Source organism: Homo sapiens, chromosome 1, assembly GCF_000001405.40.
Source record: "Homo sapiens chromosome 1, GRCh38.p14 Primary Assembly".
NCBI lineage: Eukaryota > Metazoa > Chordata > Mammalia > Primates > Hominidae > Homo > Homo sapiens.
In genome coordinates, this window is record NC_000001.11 from 35,849,142 (window position 1) to 35,864,542 (window position 15,401).

The 15,401-nt window shown below is 41.1% G+C and overlaps 1 protein-coding gene across 9 annotated transcripts in view, besides 1 other annotated feature; it reads left to right on the top strand.

The window, feature by feature from the left end:
* Positions 1-8,749, top strand: part of AGO4 (argonaute RISC component 4) — a 50,255-nt gene extending 41,506 nt beyond the window's left edge. For 5 of the 9 annotated variants that reach the window (XM_005270578.4, NM_017629.4, XM_005270579.4 and 2 more), the window contains 3 exons: positions 1,016-1,117; positions 1,713-1,912; positions 4,356-8,749. In XM_005270578.4, the coding sequence (XP_005270635.1) occupies positions 1,016-1,117; positions 1,713-1,912; positions 4,356-4,464 (411 nt within the window). In that variant the 3' untranslated portion in view covers positions 4,465-8,749. The remainder of the gene's footprint in view (positions 1-1,015; positions 1,118-1,712; positions 1,913-4,355) is intronic. The other 4 variants (NR_146062.2, XR_001737019.2, XR_246244.4 and 1 more) reach the window with 3 other exon arrangements.
* Positions 276-428: a silencer, noted in NCBI's record as "fragment chr1:36315018-36315170 (GRCh37/hg19 assembly coordinates)". NCBI's record gives its function as "represses an EF-1alpha promoter that drives an FKBP-Casp9 reporter gene in an ReSE screen in K562 erythroleukemia cells {active_cell/tissue: K562}" and the evidence as "EXISTENCE:reporter gene assay evidence [ECO:0000049][PMID:32094911]".
* Positions 8,750-15,401: the final 6,652 nt, after the last annotated feature.

Below are 15,401 nucleotides of genomic sequence, written 5' to 3' on the forward strand. Positions count from 1 at the left end.
CCTCTTGCCTTCCTAGAAATTTGATTTTCAAATTTTGTCTGTAGAGTTTTTGCTTGGAATTTTAAAAGGGTAAGAGAACATCACCTAATTTTATAGATGATTAGATTGAGGTATAAAGATAATAAGCTTTGTTCAAGGTATATAGTTGCAAGGCTAGGCCTAGATCTGAAACTGATTTTTTAGTTCCCATTTCAGTGCTTTCTTCCTGATAACCATTTGCCAGTGACTTTTTTTTTATTATTAATAAAGTATTTGTTATTGCCAGATGTGGTAGCTCGCACCTGTAGTCCTAGCACTTTGGGAGGCCAAGGTGGGAGAATTGCTTGAGCCCAGGAGTTTGAGTCCAGCCTGGGCAACAAAATTAGACCCCGTGTCTCAAAAAAAAAAAAAAAAAAAAGCCAGACATGATGGCATGTGTGCCTATAGCCCCCGCTACTCAGGAGGCTGAGGTGAAAGGATTCCTTGAGTCCAGGAGTCCAAGGTTGCAGTGAGCTGTGATCCTCCCAGTGCACTCCAGCCTGGGTGACAGAGTGAGACGCTGTCTCAAAAAAAAAAAAAAAAAAAGTACTAGTTATGTTGAACCTGGTAAACCAGTTTAAAGATTCCTTAATCTTTTACTGAAAATTGTGAATTTTTTTTACTCCAAGTAAGGAATAAAACTTTTTTTCTCAGAAAGTTTATCTATCTTAAATGTTAAATGTTTTTTCCCTTTGTGAACATACCACTGTGTCATCTGTAAATACATAATAATGTTGTAGCCCAAAGCCACGGGTAAAATATTTTTGTCCGTATCCTCCTGAAGAGATCCTGGAACATATTTGTTTGTGAAAATACTATAGGTTAAAATGGTTGGGCTAAGGGAAAGTTACAGAGGATTCAACATCTTGAATGAAAGTGATTTTCAAGACTTAAGAGACATTTACCAACTTGCTCCCAATTAACACACAAAAGAAAAAAATGGCCTGACCACAGTTTGGCACTTTGATGACTAATTACTTTTTTTTGTTTTTTGTAGGTAGGGAAAAGTGGCAATGTACCAGCAGGCACTACAGTGGATAGTACCATCACACATCCATCTGAGTTTGACTTTTACCTCTGTAGTCATGCAGGAATTCAGGTAATTTGGAAGCTGGTTCAGATCTTTGACTTGATAGGGAGATGTTTGCAAATTCAGCAACTAGCTTGAGTCGACTTGTTATTTAACACCGTGCCTAACTTTGTTAATGCTTGTATCCTAGAATTATCTTTTGGTCTAGGTATCTGCTTGTAGGTGTGCTAGGCAGAAGTATTTCTGAGTTTAAGGAGTAGGTTTCAATTATTTTCTCTTCTCGTGTCATGTCAGAAATATATTAATCAGGCCAGGCATGGTGGCTCACGCTTGTAATCCAATCACTTTGGGAGGCCGAAATGGGCAGATCACCTGAGGTCAGGAGTTTGAGACCAGCCTGACCAATGTGGTGAAACCCCATCTCTACTAAAAAAAACAAAAATTATCTGGGCATGGTGGCGTGCACCTATAGTCCCAGCTACTTGGGAGGCCGAGGCAGGAGAATTGTTTGAAGTCCAGAGGCGGGGGTTTCTGTGAACCAAGATCGTACCACTGCACTCCAGCCTAGGTGACAGAGTGAGACTCCATCTCAAAAAAAAAAAAAAAAAAACAAAAACAAAAAACGAACAAAAAAAAAACATTAATCATAAAACTCTCTCCTCAGGGAACCAGCCGTCCCTCACATTACCAGGTCTTGTGGGATGACAACTGCTTCACTGCAGATGAACTCCAGCTACTGACTTACCAGCTGTGTCACACCTATGTGAGGTGCACTCGCTCAGTCTCTATTCCAGCCCCTGCATATTATGCCCGGCTTGTAGCATTTAGGGCAAGGTATCATCTGGTGGATAAAGATCATGACAGGCAAGTTTCTTAGGCACAATAAAGTCTCTTTATATTTTAGTAGCATGTTAAAAAAAATGAGCTACAATAGAAAACTTTTTTAAGGATTTAAACTTTCAGAGTTTAAATTGTAAGAAGCAAATAAAATTGCATGTGCCTCTGAGAGCTTGTAATGTGACTTTTGGTCCAAGAAGTGCTCAGGCTTGTTTATACTTGTGTTGTGTCTCTAAAGGAGTTTAATTTGGAGCTGCTTGTGGTTCTCCCATGGAGCCAAATGCATTTCAGTTCTGCTCAGGTCCTAAGTAGCCTCAAAAAGTGGTCAACACAGTACCCTGGCTCCGGTCAAAGTAGTCACAGGGCTGTGGATTCCACTTCATGCAAGTGAGGAGGCCTGACCAGTTCACTTTGCTTTTGGTACATTCTGGAAAAATACCCCAGAGTGAACCTGGATGTGTGTGTGGGAGTGGGGGCACAGATGATTCTCACTCTCAAATAGGCATCTCAGGAGAATCAGAGAATCTGTTATTTTGACCTATTCCTGAGCTACTATTAAATAGTTACACAAGCTCTCTGCATTAATTTTCTTTTCCAAATGACCATCTGTGAAGTGTAGCAGTTTCTGGGCTCTTCCCCAAGTCTGAATTCAGCTGCTAAATAGTAGACATTCCACTGCAAGTCTATTTCTGTAAGGGTTGAAAATACACTATTATGGAAAATGTCCAACTGTGGCTTTGTACCTTCCATTCCGTAATGTGCTTTCATTTATTCGGCATATTTATTAGGTATTGACTGTGTGCCTAGTACTGTGCTAGGTGCTAGAATTACTAAGATGAGTAAGACATGTTTCTTGTCCACGGGGATTTTATGTTTCAGTATGGGAGACAATACAGGCAAATATACAACTGACAAGTAGCCCAAGTCAGTACAGATAAAAGTGCAATGGGACACCAGAGGAGAGGCTTTTAGAGAAGATTTCATAGCTGGATGGATAGAATGGCTCTACAAAAAAGAGAAAAGAATTTTCAGGGCAGAGAGAACAAGGGACACAAAGGGGAAAAAGCAAGTGGCATGTTTGTACAGTAGCAAATTTTCTTTGGCTGGAGGATATTAAAGGGGAACAAGCAGGTATGAGGCTGGAAAAATATGTTAAAGCAAGACCGTGTTTGTTAAATGTAAAATGCTGTTCCTAGGATAGAATAGACAGGACTTAACAGTTAATTGGATATGCATGTCAGAGGAGAGGGTGAAGTAAAAGATGGCTAAGATTTTGAGCCTAGATGATAAGGATAATAATCACTTAAAGAGAAAGTCAGAAGAGGGATGGGGATTTACAGCTTGTCAAGCCCTTTATATCACATGGTATCCTTAAGTAGTATGTTTAGAAGTTGTTGTTGTTACTCCGAAAGACCAAAGTTCAGAGGAGTTATTATGTGTCCAAGGTTATATAGTTAGTGAAGGGAAGACAAGAAGAGACTGGTGGCACAATAGCATTTGCTGGGAATTTCCTATGTTCCATCACTATGCTAGGTACGTAGATGCATTCATTCAACTAATGGTTTATTGAGACTTTGTTGTATTATGTGCTAGACACCAAGGATACAGTGGTGAGCAAGGTGGACAAAATTGCTGCTTTCTTGGAGTTTATATCCCAGTGGGAAAATAAATAATTACCCAAGTAATAATTTAATTTCAATTGTGTTTAGTACCATGAAAGAAAAATATAGGATTCTGTTAAAGCATGTTCCAGGTGGCTCTGACCTGGACCTTAAAGTCAAAGAAGATTTCTGTGCAGAAAAATGACATTTGACTGAAGCCTAAAGAAATTAGCCAGACATAGTGGGCAGTGGAAATCTTTATATGGATACTGTTAAGGATTGTGTCTTTGCAGACATTATATTATTTAATTCTTGCAGCAGCTCATTAAAGAAGTTCAGTTGGCCTGGCGCGGTGGCTCACGCCTGTAATCCCAGCACTTTGGGAGGCCGAGGCAGGCGGATCACGAGGTCAGGAGATCGAGACCATCCTGGCTAACATGGTGAAACCCCGTCTCTAGTAAAAATACAAAAAAATCAGCCGGGTGTGGTGGCGGGCGCCTGTAGTCCCAGCTACTCGGGAGGCTGAGGCAGGAGAATGGTGTAAACCCGGGAGGCAGAGCTTGCAGTGAGCCGAGATTGCGCCACTGAACTCCAGCCTGGGAGACAGCGAGACTCTGTCTCAAAAAAAAAAAAAAAAAAAAGAAATTCAGTTGAGTCAACTGATATTTAGAAGGACATAACAAATTATTCAAGAAGCTAAAGCTTAAGCCTAAGATATTCTAGAATCTAGTACTGTTTGTGCTATTTGAAACGTGTGAAGTTTGAAGTGGTCTTCTGTTACACCTGTTTTTTGTTTTTTTGTTGTTGTTGTTTTTGGTTTTTTGTTTGTTTGTTTTGCTTTGTTTTGTTTTGTTTTATTCTCTTTACAGTGCGGAAGGCAGTCATGTGTCAGGACAGAGCAACGGCCGGGATCCTCAGGCCTTGGCTAAGGCTGTGCAAATCCACCATGATACCCAGCACACGATGTATTTTGCCTGAGAGTCTCAGAAAAAGAACTCAACCAATTTGGCACCCCATGCAGCCTCAAAATGTTTCAAATGCCTACCGCCTCTAGATCGAGCCACGTTGACTTCAGGTGGTCTTCTACCAGCAGCTCGGAATAGTTGCACTGAATCTATACTTTGCAGCACTGTCTGATGCGTCAACAAAATTGAGCCATTTTTTTAAAGTAATAGATACTAATAGATTATCTTTTCTGATGCACTGGACTGAATTTTTACCTCAATGTGCAAAGGCTGATCAGCCTGAACTTTCTAAAGGACTTTACAAGAAGGGTTTCTATGGAATATTTTGCTAGCTGTGGTGTTCACCGCATCCCTCTAGTCTTAGAAGAGAAGATTATTCCTTTTTTCTGTAGTCATTGAGTGGGGTATATGCATAAGTGGGAGAGAAAAACCAAACAATCTACTTCAGTTCAGTGTAACTATTTAATTGTGTGGGTCCATAGACTTTTTAATGAAGATTTCTGACTTTGCCACTGTAAATGCCTTTAATGAGCATTAATTTTTGAAAGTTTTACAGAGTTTTATTAGTTTTACTACTTTATCTTATTGATCTCTGCAGACTTGTGCTGGTGCAAGTACATGCTGACAGGCAATTTGCACTATATTTGGCTGCAGATTCAAATAGGCAGTTCTCTTATTTGGTCGACTTTTGTGAATGTGTGACATAAACAGATGTAATGCATGTCACAGTGACGGAGATAACACTGCCATGATAAAAGTACTCATGTTTCCCCTATTTGGAAAAAAAAATTGCTTTTAGTATTTTTCCAAGTTTTCAAAAGTGCCCATTTTATGCTGCTGTGTGGTTTGTTAAATCTAAATGATTTTTAAACTTTTCTCATAGAAACTTAACTTTGGCAATAAACATTTTTTAAGGTCTCTCCTCTTCCTTCCCCAACAATGTAGTTTTCTAGATGAGATTTCAGTATGATTTTATCAGCTATTTCTTATATATCATAATCTGGCAATTTCTGAAACCAGTCAGAAAAGACATATATTTCCATGCCTTTTTAAAGAATTATTTTTACCTGTTTTATATTCACAGTTGGTGTCCTGTCACTTTGTTTTAAAATAAGCTAGAACCAGGATGCTTCCTTATTGGAAAGGCTTTGCCAGTCCTTAAGGTACAATGAGTGATGCTGCAACTTGCAAATGTACCAGCATTTAAAATTTCTTTTCCTGGGAATCAAGGTAACTCACACGACTACTTGCAGTACAAATTTTTTGCTTCTCTTTCGACATGAAATGTACTTGGTGGGTTTTCCTTCCTTTTATTAAACTAAAACTGTGTGGAAAAGGTTGATTTTTCTTAATAGATTCTGGATTCCACTCACAGGGAGATGGGATTCCTTTCTTGTCCAAACAAAGGGAGTTGCTCTAAAGCGAGCATCAGTTAAAATGTAGGGGAAAATGTATTCTGTATGTAGTGTAGATAATACTTTGTGAATGGACAACAGTTACATAGTGTCTTGGTAGCACCAGCCAGTGTTTCCCAGCCCAGAGTTTACTGACTTGTAATTCTCTATCCAGGACATCAGGAGTGAGGGATGGAAAAGGGGATAAAAGGCCTGGAGCCACACTCTATATGGCTGAGGAAGGAGCTAGGGAAAGAGATAGACACAATGGGGTGAAAACAATTTTGCCGCCCCTGCCTGGAAACTGCTGGTGGGGAAATGATGGTGAAGGGTGTTTGCTTGAACTCATGAGACGGTCCAAATCTCATAAACTAGCCTTCTCAAAATCCCAGCAATATAAAGCACTGTTTTTCTTCAGTCGTTTAAATAAACTTGTAAATACATTGAAGTTTACATTTCCATGTGCTGTTGATCAACGGCGCCACCTGTGTTTGCTGAGACTGGTCTCTGAGAGAGTTTTATGTCGATCGAGGCCTGTTGCTCATTAAGCTGAGTGCAGACGTCCTTAATCCCTGCAGATAGTGGGATGAAAGCAAGTTCTGTAAAATGAAGCACAACATAGCCAGGAGTGAAGAGATGGCAGATGTTAATTTCTTAAAATTTTCCTTTTTTTTTTTTTTTTTTGCAAATACCTCACTTGGATAATACAAATCAGGACATGTTGGTGAGGGGCTGGCTGCTTGGCTGCTGCTTTTATTCACACTTGTTCAGGGAGAGCACAGAGAATACCCTTCAGCATGGCCACTCTGGACCCAAGAGGAGGAAAAAACGGAAGCTTTTTTAGGAGAAGGAGGACTTGCTGGAATCCAAGATGTGAAGAACTCTTGGTGACTGGCTGGCTGGCCAGCGGGCACCACACCTGCACTTGAGTGCCTCGGGCTTGCTTATTAATAACGCACAGAAGAAGCATCACTTCTCACCATCTCCTGGCATGTATGGAGCAGGGAGCAAGGCTATGTTCCCGAAAGCCCTGATTAGCTTGTCTTGCTCTACGCTCGACCTCGAACAATACAGCTTGTAAGACCTCAGTCAGTCCTGGTACACTGGGGTAAATCAGTGTGGTGGTGGAAGAAAAGCCGGGAGGCCTATTTTTATAGGAAAATAGTACCATTAAAGGTGCAATGCTGTCATTTTGGACAAAAGGAAAGAAATTTGGAAGAGCTGGGATTATTGGCAAAAACTTGCTGAGGGGTGAATCTTTAGAGCTAATCACTGCAGAATCAGAGTTGCAGCAATATGATTGCAAGCAAGTCTGAATGCATAGTTTTACTTTAATTCGGCTTGACAATTTGAATAGGTAACCCCCTCGGGACTGACTGAATCGTTATGCATGTGTCAATCAATGGGAGGTGTGCATTCTCTAGAAGTAGTTTTAGGCTGTTTGGTTTGGTTTTGGTTTTGTTTTTTAAATGCAGCCTGTTGAGGCACTGTCATGTGGTGTGAAAGATTTAAATGTAGCAACGCTAAAGAGTAATAATTTGGGGATAAGAAGTGGGGACATTGGCCGGGCGCGGTGGCTCACGCCTGTAATTCCAGCACTTTGGGAGGCCTAGGTGGGCGGATCAGCTGAGGTCGAGAGTTCGAGGCCAGTCTGACCAACATGGTGAAACCCCATCTCTACTAAAAATACAGAAAATTAGCTGGGTCTGGTGGTGGATGCCTGTAATCCCAGCTACTCGGGAGGCTGAGGCAGGAGAATTGCTTGAACCCAGGAGGTGGACGGTGCAGTGAGCTATTACTCCAGCCTGGGCAACAAGAGCGAAACTCTGTCTCAAAAAAAAAAAGGGGGGGGGGGGACATTAAGAGAGTGGTGATGACCCAAATGTTGAACCAATTATGTTTTGGTGGTGGTGTTCTTAGCTGTTGAATCCTGAATGGTTTATAAAGTGAACTAGCTGGCTTAATGCAGCCAGCGTTCTGGGCAGCAGAACATATTCATTCTTACTGTAAATTCTATTTGCTGCTTCCAAAGGTGATGATTTTCAAGCAGACATGTTCTATATGGTCTGTGTTTTAGGATCTGGTGCCCAGCCTCTATCAGAGCTTGCCTACCTGGCAAAGCTGCCTACCCTTCAAGTGGGAAAATATAATCCACTGTTTAACAAGGCTCACCCTCTCCACCCTGTCCTAACGACCTTTTGTGAATGTGCTGTGATATTTTCTTGCTCAATAGCAAGGTGGTAGCTCTGCTTTCATTTTAAGAAAGTGGAGGCTGAGGGCATTGTATCAATACTGTTGCAACTCCAAGAAGTTTTCCTTGTAAAATTAAAGGAAAGATCTTGTTATTGATTAACCATTTTCTTATGCCTTGCTATTGACATATTCATGCTCTTTCTACGTCTAGTGGCTGAAAATGTTTGCATTTGTTCATTTGACTAATGGTGTGATTTTTGTTTCTATATTATTAGACCTGTAATGTTTTAAAATGTATTTTATTAAATTTGGACTGGATGTATGTCTCTAGCAATACGAGGTACTTTCTAAACTATTAAGGGAGGGGTTGTATCCTCATGTTGAGATAAGATGATGGTCGTTTAAATTTTGCAATTTTTTTTGGCCTGCAGGGATATTTTGTGTTTATGTGTCCAAAAAAGGAATAAATTGGCATTCTTGTGCCAAAAGTTGTTTTTCCTGTCAATTGTCTAATAAGTATGCAGTACACTGTAATGGCAACATACATGGTTGCTTTATAAAAACAGTTTCCTCAGTATGAGAAATTTTACAAAGAACAGTGGAAAAACTTTGTGTTTTTAACTCTTGGGTCTCCCTATTTTTAAAAATTGCTATTTGGTATACAATTATTATGTGTCAATTAAAACTAAAATAAAACTTTTAAAAAAGAAATTTCTATTTGAGAATTTTAGAAGAGCTTTTCAGCAACACTTCACTTATGAAAACTTTTACAAAATTGATCAGAGTTCTGGATATGGCTCTTAATGGGAAGATCTATTTAAGCAATGCTTGAGAAGAATCTGCAGTCTCCAGAGGGCAGTGTGGCCACACACTTTATAAGACTTAACTTCTCCAGAGGAGAAGCTGCTCAAATTCATCCAACCTGGGGCTATCCAGTCTCATCTTTAGAAAAATTCTCACCAGCAAGTCCTTTTGCTAAGTCATGGCAGGGACAATTCCTTAGGGAATTTATAGTTTGCCAGAGGAGAAAGTTCTGCATATAACTCTACTAGAAGGCGGTTGTTTTTTCCATCTGTATACTATCTCCACCATATTTATCAGTTATCAAACATTTATCATGAACTGGGTACATGCCATGTACTGCCTAGGTGCTGGGAACACAGAAGAGTAAAAAATTATTCAAAGAATTCATTCTAATTTGGCATGAGATGGAGGAAGAGGCAGCGAGATTAACACTGAGTGCCTACTATATGTCAGTCACTATATTTATTTATTTATTTATTTATTTATTTATTTATTTATTTATTTTTGAGACGGAGTCTTGCTCTGTCGCCCAGGTGCAGTGGCGCAATCTCGGCTCACTGCAAGCTCCTCCTCCTGGGTTCACGCCATTCTCCTGCTTCAGCCTCCCTGGTAGCTGGGACTACAGGGGCCCACCACCACGCCCGGCTAATTTTTTGTATTTTTAGTAGATTTGGGGTTTCACCGTGTTAGCCAGGGTGGTCTCAATTTCCTGACCTCATGATCCGCCCATCTTGGCGTCCCAAAGTGCTGGGATTATAGGCGTGAGCCACCATGCCCGGCCTATTTTTTTTATTTTATTATTATTTTTTAAACACAGGGTCTCACTCTGTCACCCAGGCTGGAGTGCAGTAGCACAATCATAGCTCCCTGCAGCCTTGACCTCCCAGGCTCAAGCAATCCTGCCACCTCAGCCTGCTGAGTAGCAGGGACTACAGGAGGTGCGCATCACCATGCCCTGCTAATTTTTGTATTTTTTTGTAGAGATGGTGTTTTGCCATGTTGCCCAGGCTGGTCTCAAACTCCTGAGCTCAAGCGATCCTCCCGCCTTGACCTCTCAAAATGCTGAGATTATAGCTGTGAGCCACCGCACCAGGTCTGTCAGTCACTTTCTATTGATATCTTTATCCCAGGAACAGAGTGTTGCTGGGCATTGTATCAATACTGCTTCAACTCCAAGAATTTTTCCTTGTAAAATTAAAGGAAAGATCTTGTTATTGATTAGTCATTTTATAGTCAGAAACCATGGGGTAGTTGGAAAATAGAAAAAAACAGTGTTGCTGGGATAAAGATATCAATAAAAAGTGACTGATAGGCTGGGTCAAATGCTTTCCCTTACTCCTTCTTTGGGAGATAGGATCCCTCTTTATTATAGAAAATTTGTTGTTGTTATTATTATTATTATTGAGATGGAATCTCACTCTGTCACCCAGGCTAGAGTGCAATGGCGAAATTTTGGCTCACTGCAACCTCCGCCTCCCCAGGTTCAAGCGATTCTCCTGTCTCAGCCTCCCAAGTGGCTGGGATTACAGGTGTGTGCCACCACACCCAGCTAATTTTTGTATTTTTAGTAGAGACGGGGTTTCACCATGTTGGCCAGGCTGGTCTCCAACTCCTGACCTCAGGTGATCCACCCACCTCAGTCTCCCTATGTGCTGGGATTACAGGCATGAGCCACCGCACCCAGCCAGAACCCTCATTATTTCGTATGATTCACGTGTGTCCAAATGGCCTTATTCCCACCTCACCCCCCACCACTTGTGTCATACTCATGTCCATCCCTGAATTTCTCGGGGATGTGTTACATCAGTCAGGAATGGCTTGTGGGCCCACTCCACCGTCCTAGGGGGACGGTGGCCAGTAAGTAGGGGAATGACAGACTGATCAGCACCATCACAAGGCGTGTGTCCGTTTTGTTTCTCTCTTTCTTTTTCTCTGTCTCTTGCCTCTGATTTCTTCTGTGTTGACTATTCTCCAGAAGCTAGTGGCAAGTCTTTTTTTTTTTTTTTTTTTTTTTTTTTTTGACAGGGTCTTGCTCTGTTGTCTAGGCTGAAGGTGCAGTGGTGCTATCATAGCTTACCGAACCTCAAACTCCTGGGCTCAAGCGATCCTCCTGCTTCAGTCTCCTGAGTAGCTGGGACTACAGGAGTGTGCCACCATTCCCAGCTAATTAAAAAAATAATAATTTGTAGAAATGTTGCTCAGGCTGACATTTTTTACGAGACAGGCGCTTTAACCAACTAAGCCATAGAGCCACCAGGCTGACATTTTTTAAAGAGATGAGATCATGCTATGTTGTCCAGGCTGGCCTCAAACTCCTGGCCTCAAATGATCCCCCGTCCTCAGTTTCCCAAGTAGCTGGGATTATAGGGTGCGAGCCACCATGCCCAGACAGTGGCAAATCTTTAAGGAGAAGGACAAAATCAGGGGTAGGTGGGCTGGAAGAAAACTAGCAACTATATTACAAATTGAAGAAGGAAGAAAATAAATTTAGTTTAACAAACATTTCTGGAGTTTCTATGGCATGCTAGGAAACAAAAATGAAAGACAGAAGTTAAAAAAAAAAAGATCATGATATGTTTGAATTACAAGTAATCTTAGTAATTTTTGATTATAGGGGATGAGGGAGGAATTGGACCCAAGGTAGGCACCAAGTTCTGAAAGGACAGGACAGAAGTTAAATGGCATTTTACGGAGTTTAGAGTTTATCACATAGGTACAGGGGAATAACAGACTCTAATCTGTGTTAATTTTGCCAGCAGTATTGTGAGTAGGTTGAAGCTGAAGTTCTGCTGAAGAGAAGTTCAAGTTTTATTGCAATAGCCAAGCAATAGATGATGAAGCTTGAATTTGAGCAATGATACTGCCGTTGAAAGAAGGAACGAACACGAGGTAGTCAGAAAATAGAAAAAGCAGAACTTGGTGACAAAATGGATACACAGAGTGAGGGAAGGAGGCAGACTCATTAGGAGGGCTCCCAGGTTTCTGGCTTGGGCAGCTGGGTAAAAAATAGTGCCACTGAGAGAATGAACAGAGGAGAAGCAGATTTTTAGGAAGGAGGAAGGTGGTAAGTTCAGTTTTGTACAAGCTGGAGATGAGAGCTGATGCCTATGGAATGGAGAAAGAAATTGGAAGCCATAAATATATAGGTGGTAATTAAAACCATTCAAATGTGTGCCCAGAAAGATCATGCAGGCCAAGAAGAGATGAAAAACAGACAGTCCTAAGGGGACACAAATATTTAAAGGGTAGACAGAGGAGAGAGATGTCTAAAGGAAATAAAACATGGATGGCCCTGCGCAGTGGCTCATGCCTGTAATCCCAGCACTTTGGGAGTCCGAGACGGGCAGATCACGAGGTCAGGAGTTCAAGACCAGCCTGACCAACATGGTGAAAACCCATCTCTACTAAAAATACAAAAATTAGCTGGGCTTGGTGGCAGGTGCCTGTAATCCCAGCTACTAAGGAGGCTGAGGCGGGAGAATCACTTGAACCCGGGAGGTGGAGGTTGCAGTGAGCCAAGATTGTGCTGCTGCACTCCAGCCTGGGCAACAGAGGGAGACTCTGTCTCACAAAACTAACAAACAAACAAACAAACCCCATGGACAAATGGATAAAAAAGAACAAGTTGTCTTAGAAATCAAGGGAAAAGAGCATTTCATCAAGTATGTACAGGATCGGCTATGTAGGAGTTAGCTGTGTGACACTGGGCAAGTTAACCTCTCTTAGCCTCAGTTTTCTTATTCGTAAAATGGAGATAGTACTAGTACTTACATCCAGGGTTGGAAGGATTAAATGCAATCATACATGTAAAGGCTTGGAAACACATACACATAAGCTACAAAGAAGGAAGTGGCTAACTATCCAATAGTGATCTAAAAAGACAAAATCTGAAAAGTTTCCATTGGAATTTGCAGCAAGGAAGTTATAGGTGACCCTGGTGAAAGCAATGTCTGTGGCTGGAGAAGGAAGAAGGTTGACTATAGAGATCTGAAGAACCTATAGTACTATAGTTGGTAGGTTGGATATAAAGGGAAAGAATGAATTCTGATATTAGCTGGGGTGGGAAATGGTTCGTTTTTCAGAATGGGAGAGATTGAGCACGTTTACACACTAGGGAAGGAGTCAGTAAAGCAGGAGGAATTGGAAATACTGGAAAGAGAAAAGACGCACAATAGAGGGCAAAGCTGAAGGAAGTTGGAGGGAATGAGATCTGATGTACAAGTGGAAAAAAACTAGAAGAGGAAAGTGCGAGAAGACTATTGCCTTTTCTAACTTTTTTGACGTATACATATAGTAAAATATACAGACCTTAAGTGTGGAGCCCAACTTGTCACAAAGCAAAGACATCCATGTAACTTCCACCCAGATTTAAAAACAGAAGCCCTCCAGGACCCCTTCTGAGTCACTACCTGAACCTATTCTGGTCAAAGATAACCACTATCTTTTTTAAAAACAGTTTTTTGAGGTGTCATTGATATAGAAAAGCTGCACATATTTAATGTTACAATTTAATGGGCTTGAACATATGCATCACCATAATCAAACATATCCACTGTCTTGACCTGGGTGTGATGGCACAAGTCTGTAGTCCCAGCTACTTGGGAGGCTGAAGTAGGAGGATCTCTTGAGGCCAGGAGGTCAACACTGCAGTGAACTGTGATGACACCTGTGAATAGCCACTGCACTCGAGCCTGGGCAACAGAGTGAGACCTTGTCTATTAAACAACAACAACAACAACAACCAAACAAAAAGGCCGGATGCAGTGGCTCACGCCTGTAATTCCAGCACTTTGGAAAGTCAAGGTGGGTGGATCCCTTGAGCTCAGGAATTTGAGACCAACCTGGGGAACGTGGCAAGACCCTGTCTCCACAAAAAAATTAAAAAATTAGCCAGGTATGGTGAGGCACACCTGTAGTCTCAGCTACTCTGGAGGCTGAGGTGGAAGGATCGATTGAGCTGGGAGGTCAAGGCTGTGCATGAAAAAAACAAGAACAAAAGCAAAACAACACTATCTTGATTTGTCGCACCGCAGGCAGTTTTGCTTGTTTTGAATTTATATAAGTAGAACCTTTTGTTTCTGGCTTCTTTTGCTCAATTTTATGTTTATGAGATTCAACCATGTTGTTGTATATAACAGAGATGTATTCCTTTTTGTTGCTATATGGTATTCCATTATATGAATAGACTACAATCCATTAACCAGGTTTTGGCACTGTGGTTGTTTCTATCTTTTGGCTATTGTGAATAATGCTCCTATGAACATGGGTGTACAAATACTTCTTCAAAGCCGCTTTTCCATTTTTTTAAGGCATATACTCAAAATTGCTGGCTCATATGGTAATTCTAGGTTTAATTTTTGAGGAACTGCCATACTGTTCTCTATAGCAGCTACACCAGTTTACATTCTTACCAGCATGTAGGGTAGCTTGGGTTCCAGTTTCTCCACATTCTCACCAATGCTTGTTATTTTCTGTTGTTTTTATTTTTTAATAATAACCATCCTAATGAATGTGAAATGGTATCTCATTGTGGTTTTGACTTTCATTTCTCTAATTGTTAGTGATATTGAGTGTAATTTAGTGTGATTACTGGCCATTTGTATGTTTTCTTTGGAGAAATATCTATTCAAGTCCTTTGCCTGTTTTTGTTTGTTTTTTTGTTTCATTTTGTTTTTGAGATGGGATCTCTCTCTGTCTCCCAGGTTGGACTGTGATGCTATGATCATAGCTCACTGGAGCCTCAACCTCTTGAGCTCAAGAGATTCTCCTGCCACAGCATCCCAAGTATTTGGGACTACAGGTGCATGTCACCACCCCCAGCTAATAATTTTTTGTATTTTTTTGTACAGATGGGGGTCTCACTATGTTGCCCAGGCTTGTCTCGAACTCCTGGGCTCAAGTGATTGTCCCACCTAGGTCTCCTAAAGTGTTAGGATTACAGGCATGAGCCACCATGCCCGGCTCTAGTTCCTTAATCTCTGAAGGACAATTTTGATAAGTAATATTGTTTGATGACTTTTTCTTTCAGCACTTTGAAGATGTTATTCTGTTGTCTTTCAGCTTCTATTGTCCTGTTGGAAATTTAACTATCAGCTCCTTTGAAGGTCATTTCCCTTTTTCCTATGGCTATTTTTAGTATCTTCTTCTTGTCTTTGATTTGCAACACTTTTACTATAATAGGCCTAAGTGTTTTTGTATTATCCTTCTGAGGACTTTGTCTCATTCATCTTTGTGAAACCAACACACAGTGTCTGGCATATAGTAGGTGCTCTTTAATGTATGGTAAACAAAATCCAGAGGCTCCCACAGATACTTAAAGAAGCAATGCTCGAATTTCTCTCTGCCCTAAACCTTGCTGTCCTGGTAATACTGTCTCATTTAACCCCGAACTCCAGGCCTTGTGATCTCTTTCCTTGCCCTGCCCCCTGGCCCCTGCACTTGGCATTTGGGCTTGGTTTCTCTTATGTTTAGTCTTCTTCCTCCAACTGCCTTCAGAGTCTCAGTGTCCCATGTGATATTAACCCTCCAACTCCAAGTGTGTGTCAGGGTGTGGGGCAGA